The 22,480-nt window shown below is 43.3% G+C and overlaps 1 protein-coding gene and 1 pseudogene across 5 annotated transcripts in view, besides 3 other annotated features; both read right to left on the bottom strand.

Moving 5' to 3' along the window:
• The window catches only part of ZNF609 (zinc finger protein 609), a 226,491-nt gene that overhangs the window by 13,259 nt on the left and 190,752 nt on the right, over positions 1-22,480 (bottom strand). For all 5 annotated transcript variants that reach the window (XM_047432263.1, XM_047432265.1, XM_017022021.2 and 2 more), the window contains exon 4: positions 2,377-2,464. In XM_047432263.1, the coding sequence (XP_047288219.1) occupies positions 2,377-2,464 (88 nt within the window). The remainder of the gene's footprint in view (positions 1-2,376; positions 2,465-22,480) is intronic.
• RNU6-549P (RNA, U6 small nuclear 549, pseudogene) lies at positions 1,442-1,547 on the bottom strand (annotated as a pseudogene).
• Positions 5,099-5,796: an enhancer, noted in NCBI's record as "OCT4-NANOG-H3K27ac-H3K4me1 hESC enhancer chr15:64959213-64959910 (GRCh37/hg19 assembly coordinates)". NCBI's record gives its function as "activates a minimal SCP1, AML or CMV promoter by ChIP-STARR-seq in naive H9 embryonic stem cells {active_cell/tissue: H9 hESC(naive)}" and the evidence as "EXISTENCE:reporter gene assay evidence [ECO:0000049][PMID:30033119]".
• Positions 5,797-6,496: an enhancer, noted in NCBI's record as "H3K27ac-H3K4me1 hESC enhancer chr15:64958513-64959212 (GRCh37/hg19 assembly coordinates)". NCBI's record gives its function as "activates a minimal SCP1, AML or CMV promoter by ChIP-STARR-seq in naive H9 embryonic stem cells {active_cell/tissue: H9 hESC(naive)}" and the evidence as "EXISTENCE:reporter gene assay evidence [ECO:0000049][PMID:30033119]".
• Positions 19,303-19,803: an enhancer, noted in NCBI's record as "H3K27ac hESC enhancer chr15:64945206-64945706 (GRCh37/hg19 assembly coordinates)". NCBI's record gives its function as "activates a minimal SCP1, AML or CMV promoter by ChIP-STARR-seq in naive H9 embryonic stem cells {active_cell/tissue: H9 hESC(naive)}" and the evidence as "EXISTENCE:reporter gene assay evidence [ECO:0000049][PMID:30033119]".

The following is a 22,480-nucleotide window of genomic DNA, read 5'->3' as shown; positions in this document are numbered from 1 at the left end:
GTATTTTTAGTAGAGACGGGGTTTCACCGTGTTGGCCAGGATGGTCTCGATCTCCCGACCTTGTGATCCACCCGCCTCGGCCTCCCAAAGTGCTGAGATTACAGGCGTGAGCCACTGCACCTGGCCTGCTTCTGATTCTTATCAGGGCAACTATTATGGTCTGAATATAGTCTTTTTTTTTTTTTGAGATGGAGTGTTGCTCTGTCGCCCAGGCTGGAGTGCAGTGGAGCGATCTCAGCTCACTGCAACCTCCAACTCCCTGGTTCAAGCGGTTCTCCTGCCTCAGGCTCCCGAGTAGCTGGGGTTACAGGCATGAGCCACCATGCCCAGCTAATTTTTGTATTTTTAGTAGAGACAGGGTTTCACCATGTTGACCAGGCTGGTCTCGAACTCCTGACCTCAGGTGATCCACCCGCCTCAGCCTCCCAAAGTGCTGGGATTACAGGCGTTAGCCACCGCACCCAGCCTGAATATAGTCTTATAAAAGTCTAAGCCTTGGGCTGGGTGCGGTGGCTCATGCCTGTAATCCCAGCTCTTTGGGAGGCCGAGGCGGGAGGATCACGAGGTCAGGAGATCGAGACCATCCTGGCTAAAACGGTGAAACCCCGTCTCTACTAAAAATACAAAAAATTAGCCGGGCGTGGTGGCGGGCGCCTGTAGTCCCAGCTACTCGGGAGGCTGAGGCAGGAGAATGGCGTGAACCCGGGAGGTGGAGCTTGCAGTGAGCCAAGACTGCGCCACTGCACTCCAGCCTGGGCGACAGAGCGAGACTCCATCTCAAAAAAAAAAAAAAAAAAAAAAAAGTCTAAGCCTCTAGAAACCTGGCCCAGCATCTCTGAAAATTAAGAGGCATAAATAGCCCTCGGTAGAGAATAATCACATCTGAGAATAAGAAAGTGGTATGGAATCAAGAACTTTAAAATACCTTTCCTTGGGACATTTCTGCCCATCTTTGTTTCATGGGAACAATGGGCAGATGAAGGTTTAAGATACTTTTCCTAAAAGAACTGTTCAGATAATAACTACCATTTTCAATGAATATGATCCAACAAAGAAACTTGTGACTGCATGGGAATTGCATTAATTGGTAAGCTCCTAGGATGTTACCTGTATGTTAGTTGCAAGTTACCCTCAACGCCTGGATTTCCCAAACCCTGACGAACTGAGTACTAATATTAGGAAAAAGCTATAAGGGGCCATTGATTGAAATATCCATCTAAAGGTCAAATTGCGACATGAAAAGGTCCTTGTGAAACCCGTATGTTCTAGTAGAGTTTATAAAACTAAAAATGTTCTTGAGTTCAAATTTCTGAGAAATAGCTATCATCAATGAATGTTTGCTCACCCATGGTTAGATGTTATAGCTTTGGTCTCAAGGTGACTTTAATAATTCCAGTCAAAGTGCATCCCCTCAACACTTCACTTTTTTTTCCTAATTTTAAAAATATAAAACACTTAACGAATCTGCATGTCACCCTTGTGCAGGGGCCATGCTAATCTTCTCTGTATTGGTCCAATTTTAGTATATGTACCACTGAAGTGAGCACCCGCTGAACACTTTATTTTTTTTTAATTAATTTTTTTTTTTTTTTTTTTTTTTGAGACGGAGTCTTGCTCTGTCCCCCAGGCTGGAGTGCAGTGGCGCGATCTCGGCTCCCTGCAAGCTCCGCCTCCCGGGTTCATGCCATTCTCCTGCCTCAGCCTCCCGAGTAGCTGGGACTACAAACGCTCGCCACCACGCCCGGCTAATTTTTTTGTATTTTTAGTAGAGATGGGGTTTCACTGTGTTAGCCAGGATGGTCTCGATCTCCTGACCTCATGATCCACCCGCCTTGGCCTCCCAAAGTGCTAGGATTACAGGCGTGAGCCACCGTACCCGGCCCCCCGAACACTTTAATACACAATTCATCTTCTTTTTTTTTTTTTTTTTGAGATGGAGTTTCGCTTTTTGTTGCCCAGGCTGGAGTGCAATGGTGTGATCTTGGCTCACCACAACCTCTGCCTCCTGGGTTCAAGCGATTCTCCTGCCTCACCCTCTCAAGCAGCTGGGATTACAGGCATGCACCACCATGCCTGGCTAATTTTTTATTTTTAGTAGAGACGGGGTTTCTCCATGTTGGTCAGGCTAGTCTGGAACTCCTGACCTCAGGTGATCCGCCTGCCTCAGCCTCCCAAAGTGCTGGGATTACAGGCGTGAGCCACCGCGCCTGGCCATTCAGTCTTCTTGAATGTCAGATAAATACAGTGCTTTCCCTGGTATCTATACCATCATGTCCTTTAAAAGCTGGATGTACAACTCTAGCAGGATAAAAGTATAAGGGATCACCAATTAGTGTGGTTCAGAATAATATAAACTAAATAGCTGTAAGTGCTTACCTTGGGGGTGCCCAATCATGTCGTGTGCAGTCAAGGAGTGTACCTACATATGTCTTGTTCCTCCACGTTACATTTACCACCAACATCCCTGGAAAATAAGAGCACATAGATATAGACAAGACACACCCCATTTGCCACTGAGAATAGTATTCTTTTGATCAGCACTCTGACTTCTATAAGAGGGTTTAGGAGGTACTCTGGGTACCAATGGGACAAATAGGATTGGGCCAGAATAGTTCCATAGGAATTGCCTACAATGCTACTGAGGTCCCTTAGGATGGGTAACAGTTGTAAAGACTTCATGGTTTTGTCAAGACACATTTTATTTTTATTTTTGGAGATGGGGTTTTGCTCTGTTGCCCAGGCTGGAGTACAGCCTCAAGCGATCGTCCCACCTCAGTCTCCCAAGTAGCTGGGATCACAAGAGCATGTCACCACACCTGGATAATTAAAAAAATTTTTTTTTGGCCGGGAGTGGTGGCTCACGCCTGTAATCCCAGTACTTTGGGAGGCTAAGGCAGGCAGATCACTTGCAGCCAGGAGCTCAAGATCAGCCTGGCCAACATGGGGAAAACCTGTCTCTACTAAAATTACAAAAATTAGCTGGGCATAGTGGTGCATGCCTGTAATCCCAGCTACTCAGGAGAGTGAGGCAGGAGAATCACTTGAACCCAGGAGGTGGAGTTTGCAGTGAGCCAAGATTGCGCCACTGCACTCCAGCATGGGTGACAGAGTGAGACTCCGTCTCAAAAAAAAATAAAAAATAAAAAAATAAAGCTTTTGACTAGGTAATGTAGCCTTACTCCAAAATTCAAAAGGTAGTCCCCACACCTCAACCAAAAAAAATCTCCAACAAACCCTAATATAAAATGAAGTGTCCCTTCCATAACTGTTCTTCAGTCTTCCAGTTCCCCTACTTGGAAACATCCAAAAGTCTTCCACAGATATTTTATATGTATATATGCAAATATGTTCATATATTCTTCCTTAAATGATAGCAATATACACACAATGTTCTGCACACTGCTTTTTTCATGTACCCAAATATTTTGGATCATTCCATATGTGTAGACAGAGAACTACTTCATTCTTTTCAATGGCAGCATTTGAACGGACATTTAGGTTGTTTCAATCTTCTGCTATTACAAATAAACTGCAATGAATAATCTTGTACAAATGCTTCATTTTACCTACACAAATATGTCTGTAAGATGAATTCCTGTAAGTAAAACTGTTAATCACAGTGCACTTGTATTTGGAGTTCTCACAAATACGGCCAAACCACCTCCAAATTGCCTCAAAGAGGACATACTCATTCATATACCCATTTATAGTAGCCCATGAATACCTCTTGCCCTTTTCCTTTGGCAACATGATGTTCTCATTTTGTTCTTTGCCAATCTGATAAAAGAAAAATTATGTTTTATATAGGGTTTTTTTTTGGCATTTTAATTCCTTTTTTTTTTTTTTTTTTTTTTTTTGAGACGGAGTTTCGCTCTTGTTGCCCAGGCTGGAGTGCAATGGTGTGATCTCCGCTCACTGCAACCTCCGCCTCCTGGGTTCAAGCAATTCTCCGCCTCAGCCTCCCAAGTAGCTAGGATTATAGGCATGCACCACCACCCCCAGCTAATTTTGTATTTTTAGTAGAGACAGAGTTTCTCCATGTTGGTCAGGCTGGTCTCAATCTCCCGACCTCATGTGATCCGCCTGCCTCAACCTCCCAAAGTGCTGGGATTACAGGCATGAGCCACCGCACCTGGCTGGCATTTTAATTCTTTTAGAGACAATGTCTTGTTATGTTGCCCAGATTGGGCTCAAACTCGGGCTCAAGCTATCCTCTTGTCAAGACCATTTTGCCCAGGCTGGTCTTGAACTCCTGAGATCAAGCAATCCATCTGCCTTGGCTTTCCAAAGTGCTGGGATTATAGGTGTGAGCCACCACACTTGGCTCCATTCAGTCTTTTACCATTAAATATAATATTCAGTTTTAGCGCCATGTCTGGGATATTAGAGACAAAAAGAAAACCCAGGGAACTCATCACCATGTTGTTTCTAAGGTCTTGTGACCCATGGCTGGTCTGCCTTCTTTCTTCCACGTTTCACAGTCTTGTTGTATTTGTTTTATAAATAATTTCCAGAGTTTTTAGTTGTATTTAGGGGAGGAATAGGGAAAAATCTGTCTACTCCATCTTCTCTGAAGTGGAAGTCCTGGTTTTTATTGGTTATCTTTCTTAACATTAGATTTCTATTATTAACATTTTGGTTTGCAGCCTCATATTGAGTGGAATGTCTTTGTTATTACTTTTTCCCCTTTCTCTGTCTCATCACTTTGCAATTTCTTTCTTCTGGCCCCCTAGGGACTCAGTACAACAGGTCTTCAAATGGCCTATGCCACAGTGAAATTTAGGATATCACACTTCTATTCTAATAATGAATCAGGAGGCAGCTTGACACAGTCCTTCCCAACTCCTTAAAGCTTCCCTCCTCCACTCAACAATTAACTTATTTTAAGCCTCCTTTCATAAGGCTGGTTGGGGGTTAGCATCTCACTCTCCTGGCCTCACATTCTTAGTCTATGAGCTTTTTTAGTATCTATTTACTCCTCTGAAATCACCTCTCACGACTACTCTTTGTTCCCAGATCTGGAGGTCAGCCAGTCCACAGATTCAGCCCCACTTAGTGACTTGCATCTGTGTTTCTTTTTCTTTTTCTTTTTTTTTTGAGACAGAGTTTCACTCTTGTTGCCCAGGCTGAAGTGCAATGGCCTGATCTCAGCTCATTGCAACCTCCACCTCCTGGGTTCAAGTGATTCTCCTGCCTCAGCCTCCTGAGTAGCTGGGATTACGGCAGGTGCCACCATGCCCGGGCTAATTTTGTATTTTTTTTAAGCAGAGACAGGGTTTCACCATGTTGGTCAGGCCGGTCTCGAACTCCCGACCTCAGGTGATCTGCCCACCTCAGACTCCCAAAGTGTTGGGATTACAGGTGTTAGCCACCACACCCAGCTCCAAGGCATATTTTCTATGGAATATATCAAGACAATAAATCTGGGGGATCTGGAATTAGCTTTTGTTTGTCTACGGCCACCCACTAATAAAATACTTTTTGATTTGGCACTTCTAGGACATATCTCTAGTAACTCACTTATATTCATTTATTCTTCGACATACAATGTTGTCTAAAAATCACTGGACATGGAGTTAGAAAACCTCAGTGCAAATCCTGGCTTTGTTATAGTGTAACCTTGAACAAGTCACTTGGCTTCTACAAATCTCAGGGTTTTTTTGTTTGTTTTGTTTTTTTGAGACAGAGTCTCGCTCTGTCGCCCAGGCTGAAGTGCAGTGGCACGAATCTCGGCTCACTATAAGCTCCGTCTCCCGGGTTCACGCCATTCTCCTGCCTCAGCCCCCCGAGTAGCTGGGACTAGAGGCGCACATCACCACACCCGGCTAATTTTTGTTGTATTTTTTAGTAGAGACAGGGTTTACCATGTTAGCCAGGATGGTCTTGATCTCCTGATCTCATGATCCGCCCGCCTCGGCCTCCCCAAAGTGCTGGGATTACAGGCATGAGCCACCGCGCCTGGCCCAAATCTTAGATTTTTAAAAATATAGGATTAAGCCGGGTGCGGTGGCTCATGCCTGTAATCCCAGCACTTTGGGATGCCAAGGCGAGTGATCACTTGAGGTCAGGGGTCCAAGACCAGCCAGCCTGGCCAAGATGGTGAAACCCCATCTCTACTAAAAATACAAAAATTAGCTGGGCGTGGTGGTGGGCGCCTGTAGTCCCAGCTACTCAGGAGGCTGTGGCAAGAGAACTGCTTGAACCCAGGAGGTGTTCAAGGAGGTGTTGCAGTGAGCTGAGATTGTGCTACTGCACTCCAGCCTCGGCGACAGAGCAAGGCTTCATCTCAAAAAATAAATAAATACAATAAAGTAAAAAAGAAAAATAAAACTATTATGTGCTAGATGTTTTCATATTATCTTATTGAATATTTACAGCCTTAAATCACTTTTATTTTTATTTAATTATTTTTATTTTGGACAGAGTCTCGCTCTGTTGTCCAAGCTAGAGTGCAGTAGTGCAATCTTGGCTCACTGCAACCTCCGCCTCCCAGGTTCAAGCAATTCTTGTGCCTCAGCCTCCCAAGTAGCTGGGATTACAGGCGTGTGCCACCATGCATGGCTGATTTTTGTGTTTTTAGTAAAGACAGGGTTATACCATGTTGGCCAGGCTGGTTTTGAACTCCTGGCCCCAAGCGATCCACCCAACTTGGTCTCCCAAAGTGCTGAGATTACAGTAGTCACTAGGCCAATCACTTTTATTTTTATTTGTGTGTGTGTGTTTTTTTTTTTTTTTGAGACGAAGTCTTGCTCTGTTGCCCAGGGTGGAGTGCAGTGGCGCAATCCCTACTCACTGCAACCTCCGCCTCCTGGGTTCAAGCGATTCTCCTGCCTCAGCCTCCTGAGTAGCTGGCATTTGTTTATTTATTTTTTAATTTAATTTTTAATTTTAATTTTTATTTTTGAGATGGAGTTTTGCTCTTGTTGCCTAGACTGGAGTGCAATGGCGTGATCTTGGGTCATCGCAACCTCCGCCTCCCAGGTTCAAGCAATTCTCCTGCCTCAGCCTCCCGAGTAGCTGGGATTACAGGCATGTACCACCACGCCCAGCTAATTTTATATTTTTAGTAGATATGGGGTTTCTCCATGTTGAGGCTGGTCTCAAACTCCTGACCTCAGGTGATCTGCCTGCCTCGGCCTTCCAAAGTGCTGGGATTACAGGCATGCGCCACCGGGCCCGGCCCATTTGTTTACTTTTTATAATTTTTTCTGTTTGTTTAAAAATAGAGACAGAGTCTCACTATGTTACCCAGGCTGGTTTCAACTCCTGGTCTCAAGTGATCCTCCTGCCTTGGTTTCCTAAAGAGCTGGGATTACAGGCATGAGCCACGGCACCTGGTCTTAAATCACTTTTTGAGGAAGGCAGGCCATAAGTGGGTGCCAAAAATCCTGTCATATAAGGATTGTTAAGGCTACTTTGCAAAGGAGGAAATGATACACCAGAAAGGATAAATCATTTACTCAAGGGTTCACTATTAGTGGTCAGATCTTTCAGACTCTAAGGCCTGACACAGCTATCTCTAATGGATTCTGATTGTTTTCACACAATTTTCTTAGAATATCCTGTTACCTTCACCTTAGATAAAAGACACATACACATACAGGATTGCAGGGGGTCATCCAGAGGGGAAAAGGATAGGAATCCTATCCCTTTGCAGTGCCCTGGCATCTTAAGGGAAATGGCATCTCTCCTAAAGAAGTAATTAGGCTAAATTCTCTCTAGCTATTAGCAAAGTGATTTCAAATGGATGTCTCCCCCAAAAGGTGGCCTGCTCTGATTACTGCATAATCAATTTAATAGGAACAGAGTCCATTTATAGAGAAGGTAAGACTTAGAGATAGGCATCTCATTTATAAGGGCAGATGAGCACAGCTGTACACAGAGAGCAGGCACACAACTAGAAGATGAATCTCATTACTATTCTTGAAACAGCTGGGTGGGAACACATGTTTATAAATCAGGCTTCTTCCTTTGGTATAATCTGCAAACTTTAGCAATAATGAATGAGCTGAAGAGAAGACAGGTCAAACAAGGTGCTGGAAATGGGAGAAGGGAAGAGAAAAAATTATGATATGGAAAGACAAAATGGAGGCTTGTTTAAATGTCAAAGGAAACACACATTGATGAGGTTTAATAGTCTTCCTGCAAGGTTCCGAGTTGAGACAGCTGGAGAATAGGACGACAGGAAAGAAAAGCAGCAAATAACACTTAACAGACCAAGTTTCTCTATTAGGGGCTAGCTTTAGAGAAGCAAGTAGGCTGAAGAGAAAGAAAAACTGGTCTTCATCTTGGAAAACTTACTATTTTTCATAAGTGTTCACAAAATAAGGAAAGGCTCAGCATGTTTGAGGATAATACTGCTAAAAAACAGCAGTAATAAATAGTGCTCCGTGTTTCTCTAGAATCTTACTTTCAGATTTACCAAGTCTTATGGACATAATCTAAGTACCCATTATTAAGTTTTAGAGTACTCACTATTCTCCCTTCTTCAAGGTGATAAATATTGGAGCAGAGTAAAGGGAAAATGATGACATGTATGAGGCACTAGTCAGGTTCCCCTAGTTATTATTATTATTATTTTTGAGACAGAGACTCACTGTGTCACCCAGGCTGGAGTGCAGTGGTGCAATCTCGGCTCACTCCAGCCTCTGCCTCCCAGGCTCAAGCAATACTCCTGCCTCAGCCTCCCAAGCAGCTGGGATTACAGGTGTGCACCACCACACCTCGTTAATTTTTGTATTATTAGTAGAGATACTGTTTCACCATGTTGGTCAGGCTGGTCTCGAAGTCCTGCCTCAGGTGATCCACCTGCCTCGGGCTCCCAAAGTGCTGGGATTACAGGCATGAGCCACCACGACTGGCCAGGTTCCCACAGTTCTTAGGAGTGAAATGCTGAGACAAACTCAATCCCAAAGCAGCACTGCTTTGTTTCAGATAATAATTCAAAACCTCAAAACATTTGTGTAGTCAAGGCTGATCCAAGTATAATAGTAGAAAGAGAGAGAGAGATTTTTTTCTAGGCCCCTCATTTTTACTATTTCCATTAGTACATACTTTCTCTCAGGGATCTGGTACCTTCATGCTCAGCTCCTTCATGCTCAGACCAATTCCCTTCTTGAAACGCTTCCTTCACTTGGCTTCCAGAACACCATACTCTCCTGGTTTTCCTCCTATCTCTCTGGTCATTCCTCAGCATCTTTTGCTGGTACTTCATGTGTAGCTGATGACTCAAACTTCTATCCCTAGCCCCAACCTCTCCCCTAAACTCCAGATTCATGTATCTAATCACAAACTTGACATTTCCATTGGACGTCTAAATGGAGATCTCAAACTTAATATGTTCCAAACTGAGCTCCTGATACCCATCCTCTCCTTAACAACCCTCTCCTCCAAGAACAACAAAAACAACTTGCTCTGAATTCTCCCTATCTGAGGTAATGGCATGTGTACATCCTTCTAGGTGTTCAGGTCAAAACCCTTAGAGTTTTACTTGGTTCCTCTCCTACTATCCATGTCCCCACACCTGACCATCAGCAAATCTTTTTGGCTCAACCTTCAAAATATATCCAGATTTTGATCATTTCTCATTACCTCCACTTCTACTGCTCCAAGCACTCCTTAAATTATTGCAATAGCTTCCTAACTTGCTTCCATCTTTATCACTTTCTGACCTGTTCTCAACACAGAGACCAGAGAGATCCTGTTAAATAAAACCTCTCATATCCTATCATTTCTCTGTATAAAACCTTTTAGCTTTTGAACTCATACATACAGGTATAGGTGATACATACATCTGTATGTATCACCTATTCCCAAAAAAACACATAAAAATAGTTATTAGTTAGCCAAGCACGGTGGCTCATGCCTGTAATCTCAGCAATTTGGGAGGCCGAGGCAGGTGGATCATCTTAGGTCCGGAGTTCAAGACCAGCCTGGTCAACATGGTGAAACCCCATCTTTACTAAAAATACAAAAATTAGCCGGGCAGTAGTGGCGCGTGCCTGTAATCCCAGCTCCTGAGGAGGCTGAGGCAAGAGAATCGCGTGAGCCTGGGAGGCAGAGGTTGTGGTGATCCGAGATCGCGCCACTGCACTCCCGTCTGGGCAACAGAAAGAGACCCTGTCTCAAGAAAAAAAAAATTATTAGTTTTAGTAGAAATATCTCAATGTTTTAAAAATGCTTCATGGCCAAGCATGGTGGCTCATGCCTGTAATCTCAGCATTTTGGGAGGCCAAGGTGGGAGGATTGCTTGAGCATAGGAATTCGAAACTAGCCTGGGCAATGTAGTGAGACCCTGTCTCTAAAAAATTCTTTAAATTATCTGGGCTTGTTGGCATGTGCCTGTAGTGCCAACTACTATGGAGGCTGACATGGGGGGATCACTTGAGCCCGGGAGATCTAGGCTGTAATGAGTTGAGATGTTGCCCCTGCACTCCAGCCTAATTCACAGAGGAAAAAAAAAAGATGGGGCCTAATTCTCATCCCCTGGAGTGTGAGCTGCCTTTAGCAACTTGCAGAAGTGATGGTGCATGACTTTTGAGACAAGGTGATAAAAGGTATTATTGGGGGTTCCTCCTTGCTTTCTCTCTGGGATTTCTTCCCTTAGGGATGACAGCAGCCATTTTGTGAGAACACTTAAGCAGCCCTATGGAGAAGTCCACGAGGCCAGCAACTGAAGCCCTCTGCCAATAGTCATGTAGTGAAGCAACTTGGAAGAGGATCCTCCAGCCCCAGATATGCTTTCAGATGATGGCAGCCCCAGTCAACAACTGACTACAACCTCATGAGAGACCCTGAGTCAGACCACCCAGTTAAGCTACTCCTGAATTCCTGAGCCACAGAAACTCTGTGAGATAATATTTATTGTTTTAGACAACTATGTTTTAGGTTAATTTGTTACATAACAGATAACCTGGAATAATGTCTACCCTAGGTAGACAAATAATTCATTCCTACCTTGAACGAATATTTATTGAGCATCTATTATTTGCCAAGCATTCTGTGAAGTATTGAAGTTACAAAAACAGTGAAGAAATGCTGAGGTCCACTCCTGGGTTGGCAGCAAATGTTTATTAAGAGCCAACTTTATGGAATGTGCTGGACTAAGTACTAGAGAATAAGGATAAATAAGGCCAGATGCTTGCCCTCAGCATAAGAGACAACAAAAGAGAAAGGGGAAGAGATGAAGTGTACCTGAATATTCCAGTAGCATTGAGTTTCCAAATGGAAACATCAGCATTTGCCTATATGCTGCTTTTAAATCTTATTTTAATCCCAATTTTCAATCCTGATTGATGTTGACAACTATACCCTAACTGGATACAAATACACCCTAACTAACCAGGGTAAAGTACAGATTAGCACACATACATGCTTTCATTCATTCTATTATTCCACAAATGAGCACCTACTCTGGGCCAGACACTGTTCTCAAGTACTGGGACATGGCAACACACAAAACTGACCAAGTCTCTGCTCTTACATTCAGATAAGAGGAGAAAGACAATAAATAAGGGAACATGTAAGCATATGTCAGATAGTGATACGCGGCCAGTCGTGGTGGCTCACACCTGTAATCCCAGCACTTTGGGAGGCCAAGGCGGGAGGACTGCTTGAGCCCAGGAGTTCGAGACCAGCCTGGCCAACATGGTGAAACCCTGTCTCTACAAAAAATACCAAAATTAGCCAGACATGGTGGCACACGCCTGTAGTCCCAGCTACTTGGGAGACTGAGGCAGGAGAATCACTTGAGCCCAGGAGGTGGATGTTGCAGCAGTGAGTCCACATCACGCCACTGCACTCCAGCCTGGGTGACGGGAGTGAAACCCGGTCTCAACAAACAAACAAACAAACAAACAACAAAAACCCAGAGAGTGATAAGCTATGGAGAAAAACAAAGCAGAAGACGATGTGAGGGATGGTGATGCTGCTATTTTATAAAGGGCAATTTTAAAAAGCCTTCTCAAGAAGATGACATTCAAGCAGAGAAACCTGTAAGAGGTGAGACAGCGAGCTCTGTGGAAATTAGAAGACATTTTAGGCAGCGGAAAAAGCAAGTACAAAGGCCCTGTGGTGGAAATGCACATGGCACGTTCGGAAGAGCAAAGAGGATAGTGTGGCTGTAGTGGAATAAATGAGGGGAAGAGTGAGAACACATGAGGTCAGAGAGACAGCATATTAGTGACAACGGTGGACCAGATCACACAGACTGGGGATTGGCAGGCTTTTAAAGTAAGGGACAGATAGTAAATATTTAAAGCTTTGCAGGCCACACAGTCTCCGTCATAACTTCTCAACTCTTATAGTAGAAAAAGAGCCCCAGACAATATGTAAACAAATAGGCATAGTTGTGTTTCAATAAAACTGTATTATAAAAACCAGAAGTGGGACTGGATTTGGTAACCGAATCCTAACTTGCTAATAATCCCTGACATAGACCGTCTGCACCTTGAGGAACAGATTATGAGGCCAGAGGGGAACTGTATTTATGTTCAGGCTCTGGCCTCAGAATGAACTCTCACTGAAACAAAGATATAAATGAGAGCCAGATAAAAAAGAAATACTTTTATTAATATTAGGCATTCAAAGGTTGTTTATTGGACTGATAAAATGAAAAAAGCAGCTTGTCTAAGGCCCAAAATAATTATTTCATTATTTCTATAGAAAATGTTTTGAGGCCAGGTGTGGCAGCTCATGCCAGTAATCCCAGCATTTTGGGAGGCTGAGGTGGGCAGATCACCTGAGGTCAGGAGTTCAAGACCAGCCTGGCCAACATGGCGAAACCCCATCTCTACTAAAAATACAAAAATTAGCTGAGCATGGTGGCGTGCACTTGTAATCCCAGCTACTCGGGAGGCTGAGGCAGGAGAATCGCTTGAGCCCAGGAGGCAGAGGTTGCAGTGAGCCAAGATCATGCCACTGCACTCCAGCCTGGGCAACAAAGCAAGACTCAGTATCAAAAAAAAAAAAAAAAAGAAAGAAAGAAAAATATTTTGCGTTCCAAAAAAATGTTTTGAAAATTAACTTTGGACCACAAACCATTCGTAAGTTGGGGACTTCCCATATACAGAGCGTATTTTAAAATTTTCTTGATGACTCAGGGTCATTATTCTAGATACAATTATTCTGTGGTGTGGTAAAGAGATGTCCCTTTGAAGGTTCCTGAGATATTAGGGGTTAATGGCCCTCTTTAATTGAGACCAAACTACTCTGCTGAGTTTCTGTGTTTTGCTTCTCGGTCTCCTCTTTGGCTGTCAGCAGTTACTTTTTCTCGTCATTAATATGTCTGCCTTCTGCAGTAGTCTTTCCCTTATCACCAACCTCTCTATTACATCCAACTTCCTTCTTCCAATCTACTTTAGGCTAGGAAATCAGGGAGTAAATATTAACGTAGCTCTATCATCCACTAATTACATGATTCTCTTAAGGGTCTGTTATTTGGAACTCAAAGTCCATGGGGAAAAATTCTATAGCTACTAACCAAAGGAATCAGTCTGAGAAACTATTTTTGGTAACTCCCTACGACCACAGTTTGCCAGCGAGTTTTGAATGCAGTGTGTGAGTGTGTGTGGTAAATGTCCAATAAAAAACTTTTAAAAAACTAAAAACGCGTTTTATACCTCTTTTGAACATGTTATTTCTAACAACAATGGGTAATGAGGATCTCAGTTCAGGTGCCAAGAATTCCCAGAAATGGCTACAAATGAAACATAGATCTTTAAGGCTCTCCTAGAGAGAGAAACGAAAAAGCACAACTTTGGGAGGCTGAGGTGAGCAGATCACTTGAGGCCAGTTGGACACTAGCCTGGCCAACATGGTGAAACCCCGTCTCTACTAAAAATATGAAAATAGTTATTTTCCATTAAAAATACTATTTATATTACCATGTAACAGGTTCATTATTATGAATAATACACACTTTGAGTTTCTAAATTTTAATTCCTAAATGGTAGATATCAATAGATATAATCTATAAAAACAAAAGTTCTTTGAGGTCCTCAATACCTTTTTTTTTTTTGAGACAGGATCTTTGTCATCCAGGCTGGAGTGTAGTGGTATGATTACGGCTCACTGAAGCCTCAACCTCCAAAGCTCAAGTGATCCTCCTCTCTCAGTTTTCTAAGTAGCTAGGACCACAGGTGTGCACCACCACACCCAACATATACGCTATTGTCAGATTAATCTACCTCAACATATATTATACATAATATGTATATTATATATAATGTGTGTGTGTGTGTGTGTATATCTTTCAAAGTGCTGGGATTATAAGTGTGAGCCATGGTATGTGGCCCTTCAATAATTTTTAAGTTAGGCTGGACGCGGTGGCTCACACCTGTAATCCCAGCACTTTGGGAGGCTGAGGAGGGTGGATCACCTAAGATCAGGAGTTCGAGACCAATCTGATCAACATGGGGAAACCCCATATCTATTAAAAATACAAAATTAGCTGGGCGTGGTGGTGCATGCCTGTAATCCCAGCTACTCGGGAGGCTGAGACAGGAGAATTGCTTGAACCTGGGAGGCGGAGGTTGCGGTGAGCCGAGATCGTGCCATTGCACTCCAGCCTGGGAAACAGAGCAAGACTCCGTCTCAAAAAAAAAAAATAGTAATTTTTAAGGTAAATGAAAAGGGGTCCTGAGACCAAAAAGTATAAGAACTGCTACACATAAGGCATAAAAGCCAAGCATTGTTTTCCTTCTGCCTCTTTATAGAGAAGTTAACTAAGCTGCTGCTATCTTCATGCTGGGAGACAGAAAGCTGGGGATCAAGCCACTTCTACCAGTGCAGTCAGTTTTGCCTTTCAGGGATTTGCTTGCCCAGTTTGAATTCTTGAAAGTTGTGAGAATTCTGGATCCTGAGGAGAGGCAACTGATGATCTGTAAAGGAAGCAGGAAACTTTGGGCATAGCCAGGAGGGATCAAGGGCTAAAAAAAAAAGAAGTAAATAGAGTTGACTTTCTGGCATTTGGACAAGAGTCAGCCACCATGACCTGCCCATTCTGCCTTTGAAATCTCTGAATAATGTCTTCCTCTCCACATCCCCACAACCACTAGAGTCTAAGTCCTCATTAACTTACCTGTAGACTATCCCAATAGTCTTTGAATTGTGCTCCCTAACTCCACCCTTTATCTCTGTCAATCCAGGCGGTAAACTATTGTCAGATTAATCTACCTCAAACGCTGCTGTTTTTTTTTGAGACGGAGTCTCCCTCTGTCGCCAGGCTGGGGTGCAGTAGCGCGATCTCAGCTCACTGCAACCTCCGTCTACGGGGTTCAAGTGATTCTCCTGCCTCAGCCTCCCGAGTAGCTGGGACTACATGCACGCACCACCATGCCCAGCTAATTTTTGTATTTTCAGTAGAGACGGGGTTTCACCATGTTGGCTAGGATGGTCTCAATCTCTTGACCTCATGATCCATCTGCCCTGGCCTCCCAAAGTGCTGGGATTACAGGTGTGAGCCACCATGCACGGCCTCAAACACTGCTTTTATGCAACTAATCAGCAAATACATAATACCTATTATTTTTTATAATTTTTTTTTTTTTTTGAGACACAGTCTTGCTCTGTCACTCAGGCTGCAGTGCAGTGGTGCGATCTTGGCTCACTGCAACCCTTCACCTCCTGGGTTCAAGTGATTCTCCTGGCTCAGCCTCCCAAGTAGCTGGGACTACAGGCACGCATCACCATGCCCGGCTAATTTTTTGTATTTTTAGTAGAGACGGGTTTCGCCATGTTGGCCAGGCTGGTCTTGAGCTCCTGGCCTTAAGTGATCTGTCTGCCTCAGCCTCCCAAAGTGCTGGGATTACAGGCGTGAGCCACTGTGCCTGGCCCATACTACTTACCATACTCCGTCATTGTGCCAAGTGCTACTGAAGATTCAAAACAGAATAGAGATATGGCTACTGAATGGAAAGTTGTGTTCTAATCTTGGAGGTGGGGGGCAGGGTGGTGTCGGAGAATGGATATATTCAAAACCATTAGTTGGGATGCTGGATCTAAAGAAAGAGGAAGGGAGGAAGGGAGAGAGGGGAGGGGAGGAGAAAGAGGGAGAGAGGGAGGAGGGACGGAGGAAAAAAGAAAAGAAAAGAGGAAGGAAGGGAGGAAGGGAGGAAGAAAAGAAGGAAGGAGAAAGAAAGAAAAAAGGAGAAAACCCATTACTTAAAAACCCAAAACCATATGCTGCACTACAAACTGTGGTAAAGCCATGGACTGTTAGGTCAGAGAAAGAATAGGGAGAATTTTATAATCCTAAATGGATTTGGGATAAGCATGACACACATGAAGAAGAGTGAGACCAAACCACAAGTGAAGAACTGAGGCATGTGTCAGAGAGTAGGAAGGAGATATGGAAAAAGCTGATCTAATACTTGATGCTAAATAAATATTTGTTAATTGTTACTGATTGGTGGGCTAATATATTAAAATAAGTTATAGAAAATAAGATAGCTAGGCATGGTGGCTCACGCCTGTAATCCCGCACATTGGAAGGCTGAGGCAGGCTGATCACTTGAGGTCAGGAGTTCGAGACCAGCCTGGGCAACATGGTAAAACCCCATATCTACTAAAAATACAAAAATTGGCTGGGTGTGATGGTGGGTGCTTGTAATCCCAGCTACTTGGGAGACTGAGGCAAGAGAATTGCCTGAACACGGGAGGCGGAGGTTGCAGTGGGCCAAGATCGCGCCATTGCACTCCAGCCTGGGTGACAGAGTGAGACTCAGTCTCAAAAAAGGAAAAAAAAGAAAATAAGGTAAAAACTTTTGACTGAGTGCTGAGTTGCTTAATTCATCCTTCGCCAAAAGCTGCTACTTATCCATGCTGTTTTCTAAATCTGGTAAAGTTGTTGTTTTCAGCTTCCCCTTGTTAGTTAATTACTTATTCCATTTTACACAATTTCCATGCCCCTGCCCCCTACAGACATTCTTTATGTTTAATGTACACATTTTTGTTTGTATATGTTCTTTTTATTTACTTTTCTTGAGACAGAGTTTCTCTCGTTGCCCAGGCTGGAGTGCAACGGCGTGATCTCAGCTCACTGCAACCCCGTCCCCTGGGTTCAAACAATTCTCCTGCCTTAGCCTCCCATGTAGCTGGGATTACAGGCACCTGCCACCATGCCCAGCTAATTTTTTTTGTATTTTTAGTAGAGATGAGGTTTCACCATGTTGGCCAGGCTGGTCTCCAACTCCTGACCTTAGGTGATCCACCCGCCTTGGCCTCCCAAAGTGCTGGGATTACAGGCGTGAGCCACCATGCCCAGCCTGTATATGTTCTTATAAATGTATATTATATATATTATTGTTTTGTTTTCATATATTTTATTTTGCTTATTTAGTATTATGTTATAGATATCATTCTGATTTTTTGCGGGGGATGGAGTTTTGCTCTTGTTGTCCTGGCTGGAGTGCAATGGCACGATCTTGGCTCACCACAACCTCCGCCTCCCAGGTTCAAGCGATTCTCCTGCCTCCCGAGTAGCTGGGATTACAGGCATGTGCCACCATGCCGGCTAATTTTGTATTTTTAGCAGACACGGGGTTTCTCCATGCTGGTCAGGCTGGTCTCGAACTCCCGACCTCAGTGATCCAACAGGCGTGAGCCACCATGCCTGGACTATTCTGTTTTTTTTCCCCTCAACTTGGTGCTATAATTTTTTTTTTTCTATTCTGTTTTTTTTCCCCTCAACTTGGTGCTATACTTTTTTTTTTTTTGAGATGGAGTCTCGTTCTGTCACCCAGGCTGGACCACAGTGGCATAATCTCGGTTCACTGCAAGCTCTGCCTCCCGGGTTCATGCCATTCTCCTGCCTCAACCTCCCGAGTAGCTGGGATTACAGGCGCCCATCACCACGCTCAGCTAATTGTTTGTATTTTTAGTAGAGACAGGGTTTCACCGTGTTAGCCAGGATGGTCTCGATCTCCTGACCTCGTGATCCACCTGCCTCGGCCTCCCAAAGTGCTGGGATTACAGGCGTGAGCCACCGTGCCCGGCCCACTTGGCGCTATGCTTTTAAGAATCTTCCATATTGCTATATTGTATCTAGCCTATAAGGTTGTAATACCTATACCTATCACTTAATAATCAATCTTTAATGACTTCCTATCTGTAGTAAGGGGCTATGGAGATACATATTATAGAAATAGAAGACATGATCTCAATCTGTTCTCACACACTTTACAATCCAGTTGAGATAAACACACGCAGAAATAACATGCTATCAGGCAGTAGATGAGAACAGAGTACTTTGGGAGGAAGAGATGGAAGGATTGCTTGAGGCCAGGAGGTCAAGACCAGCCTGGTCAACATTACAAGACTCCCATCTCTATAAAAAAGAAAAAATATATATAAAATAAATAAAGAAGAGAGTAAAGTTTGGTTGAATGGCCAAGTGAACGATATCTTACCATATCATGACATGTATAATAAAAAAGGATAGGAAGAATGTGATATCTAGATTTAATTGAACTGATGGCGGGGCATGATGGCTCGTGCCTGTAATCCCAGCACTTTGGGAAGCTGAGGCGGGTGAATCACCTGAAGTCAGGAGTTTGAGACTAGCCTGGTCAACATGGAGAAACACCATCTCCACTAAAAATACAAAAATTAGCCGGGCATGGTGACGCACTGTAATCCCAGCTACTCAGGAGGCTGAAGCAGGAGAATCGCTTGAACCCAGGAGGCAGAGGTTGCAGTGAGCCCAGATCACACCACTGCACTCCAGCCTGGGCGGCAGAGTGAGACTCTGTCTCTAAATAAATAGATAAATAAACTGATATAGTGAACTTGTAAAATACCATTTTAAACCTTTCTAGACTTTCCTCTAGATGGTGCTGGAGTAACCATATTGTCTTTTATAACTCAAATTTCCTTCAACCTTTCAGAGTAAGGGGTAATTTATGATTCCTAGCAAGTTGGTGACTTTGCTACCAATTTTTTATAGCTCTTTGGCTCCCAGTCTAGGAGAGTGTGATATCTTGGACACTACTAAGAAATTAAAATAACAGATAACGCAAACTCTAGTAGTTTCTCATTCAATCTGCAAGGAGCTACTATTCAAAGCTATATTCTACTTGTGTGTTTGTTTAGGGGTTGGGGGAGTGGGGTTGAATAAACATGTCATTGCTTCCAGGAAGTTTATTTTTTATTTATTTATTTTTTTTGGAGACGGAGTCTAGCTCTGTCGTCCAGGGTGGAGTGCAGTGGCACGATCTCAGCTCACTGCAACCTCTGCCTCCCAGGTTCAAGCATTTCTCCTGCCTCAGCCTCCCAAGTAGCTGGGACTACAGGCGCACGCCGCCACACCCAGCTAATTTTTTGTATTTTTAGTAGAGATGGGGTTTCACCGTGTTGCCCAGGCTGTTCTCAAACTCCTGAACTCAGGCAATCCGCCCACCTCGACCTCCCAAAGTGCTAGGATTACAGGCGTGAGCCACTGCGCCTGGCGCTTCCAGGAAGTTTATAATCTAGAATGAGGGGGACAAAACTCTAATGTAAAACAGAAGACATTATCACCAGCAAGGCTTACCTCTAACAATCCAAAAGATCACAAAGATGCATAGGGTAATGAATATCCTAATCTGTCTAAGGAAATAAAGGGTTCTTTAAAGACCAGTAAAAAGTCTCCAGAAATGGTTTTAAAATAAAATTACTGTTGAACATATTTTATAGTAGCTATCTTCAGCTCTGTCATATCAGGCATCTGGAGCCAGATGGAAGCCCTGGTTTCCAAATAGGGCACAGAGCTGGATGCCCTGTCTAGGAAGAGCCACAGTACACATTCTGTACAGACTTGGAGTATCTTTTTATGTATTTATTTTTTAAGGTTAGTTAAGTGAAGCAATGGGATTAGAGATGGAACAAAGAAATCTGTAATTGGTTGTGATCAACTAGTTGTAAACACCACTGCACTCAGACCAGCCCCAGACTTGCAGTATCTTAGGTAATATGGCATAATGATAGAAAAATCTAAATTGAACTAGGTGCGGTAGCTCGCACTTGTAGTCCCAACTACTTAGGGAGGCTGAAGCAGGAGGACTGCTTGAGTCCAGGAGTTGAAGATCAGCCTGGAAAACGCAGTGAGACTCTATCTCTAAAATTTTTAAAAAATAAGCCAAGTGTTGGCCAGGCATAGTGATTCACACTTGTAGTCCCAGCACTTTGAGAGGCCAAGGTGGGAGGATTGTTTGAGCCTAGGAGTTTGAGATCAGCCTAGGTAACATGGCAAAACCCCCGTACCTACAAAAAATATAAAAATTAGTCACGTGTGGTGGTACGTGCCTGTAGTCCCAGCTACTTGGAAGGCTGAGGTGGGGAGAATGGCTGAGCCTGGGAGGTCGAGGCTGTAGTGAGCTGTGATCATACCACTGCACTCCAGCCTGGGTGACAGAGTAAGACCCTGTCTCAAAAAAAAAAAAAAAATTAGCCAGGCATGGTGGTGTGTGCCTGTAGTCCCGGCTAAAAATATATATATAAAATAAAAATAAGGCTGGGCATGGTGGCTCATGCCTGTAAGCTGAGCACTTTGGGAGGCCGAGGTGGGCAGATCACTTGAGGCCAGGAGTTGGAGACCAGCCTGGCCAACATAGTGAAATCCCATCTCCACCAAAAATACAAAAATTAGTCAGGTGTGTTGGCTCGCCTGTAATCCCAGCTACTCAGGAGGCTGAGGCATGAGAATAGGCAGAGGTTGCAGTGAGCTGCGATTGCACCACTGCACTCCAGCTTGGGTGACAGAGAGAGACTTGGTCTCTAAGTAAATAAATAAATAAAAGAAAAATGTAAACTGGGCTCTCAGGTTTCATGTCTTAAGTTTTTTTTTTTTTAATTTCTGAACAACAAATTTTAGTACACAGAGTTGGGTGTGGTGGTGACAACACTGGTTAATGAGATAGTGAGAGAGGTAATACATAACACGTGAATAGAAACAAAACAGCTCTACTTCCTTCCCAAGAGGGGAGCAATCTACATAAAACTACAGTGTTCGGGTCTGGAGAACACCTGTGAGAAATCTCTAACCAGGCCTGCTCCCTCAGCTGTAGCTGCCAGAGTGGCTTACAAACATCTAGGTCACCTCATGTCTTTGCTATGTCAATAATGCTTTCTCTTTGTATAGTCCTCCTGACAGCTCCTGTCACAGTGTTTGCCCTCTGATACCTGTGATGAACTGGCTGGGGAACCCCCACACTGAACAGGAGCTGAGCAATGGCTCACTGCTCCTATCTAATCCCTCATAATAGCAGGCATCTACTGCAGTTACCTGGTTTCCTAGTTTAAAATAATCAAACTGAACAAGAGTTGCTGTGGTCTGCTCAGCTACCTTTTACCTAGAGTCACCTTTTTAGGAAAAGGTGAAAATGAGCTGAGCTCTATAATTTAGCCAAAAGTGATCTCTTTCAGTTCACAATTATATGGCATCTGCTGACTGTATCATTAGTAGGGCTCTTATGCTGTTTTGTGGTATTATTTGCATATATTTATTTGAAGATATTTCGGTTATAAAACTTCCTAAAAATGAGCTCCCATATACAAAGCAAATATGAAGAAACCACCCCAGAAATCTTAGGAAGCAAAGCTGCCTACTTGGGACTACATGACAAAAATGCAATAAGGTATAATTTCTTTTCATTCCAGTCCATTTGAAAGTAAATAGGACCAGGCTTACATAAAGTTAAGATGTTCATGTGTATATATGTATATATATGTTTATAGATAGTTTGAGATGGGTCTGTAAATCAACTTATTCCCTCCTCACAAAGTTGCCTCAAAACTATTACTAAAAAAATCCTTCCTATTTCCATTAGTTTGCTTATAAATCCAGACTTTTTCTAGACTGCCAAATTGGCTCTGCCGGGCCAGTAACAAACATTTTTATAATTTTATATTACTTTTAAATAAATGACAAAGGATCCCCCCCCCACCCATCAACACAAATCTTACACACTAAATAAATATTCCATTTCACAATCGCATTAGCTATTCTAGTCTTAGGTGAAGATGTACACTCTGCAAGGTTTTTCTCAAAGTTCTACAGACTCTTTTGAATATTCTGTGCAAATGGATGGTCTGGTCTCTCCCTCTAGCTACCCCCAACTCCCCAGCTTCTTACTTTCAGGAGGTTGAGATGCTAAAGACACAGTTATTGGATCTAAGTAGAGGACCTCTTTCCCTTTAACACATTTCTGATTCACTGGCTGCCCTGCTAAAGTATAGGTACTGTTTTGTGTACAGATTTTCCATACCTTCTTCTAATGTTAATCTAACTTTTATCCTCTCTTAAGCCCCAAGACTTCCACATACAAATTTTATGTTGTCTGTCATGACTGAACTTATTTGATTTAGAAATTAATGATTTACTTTACCTATTTTTTTTACAATTTTTTTTTTTTTTTTGGAGATGGAGCCTGACTCTGTTGCCCAGGCTGGAGTGCAGTGGTGAGATCTTGGCTCACTGCAACCTCCACCTCCTGGGTTCAAGCAA

Source organism: Homo sapiens, chromosome 15 (genome assembly GCF_000001405.40).
Source record: "Homo sapiens chromosome 15, GRCh38.p14 Primary Assembly".
NCBI lineage: Eukaryota > Metazoa > Chordata > Mammalia > Primates > Hominidae > Homo > Homo sapiens.
This window is presented reverse-complemented; position numbering and strand designations above follow the sequence as displayed.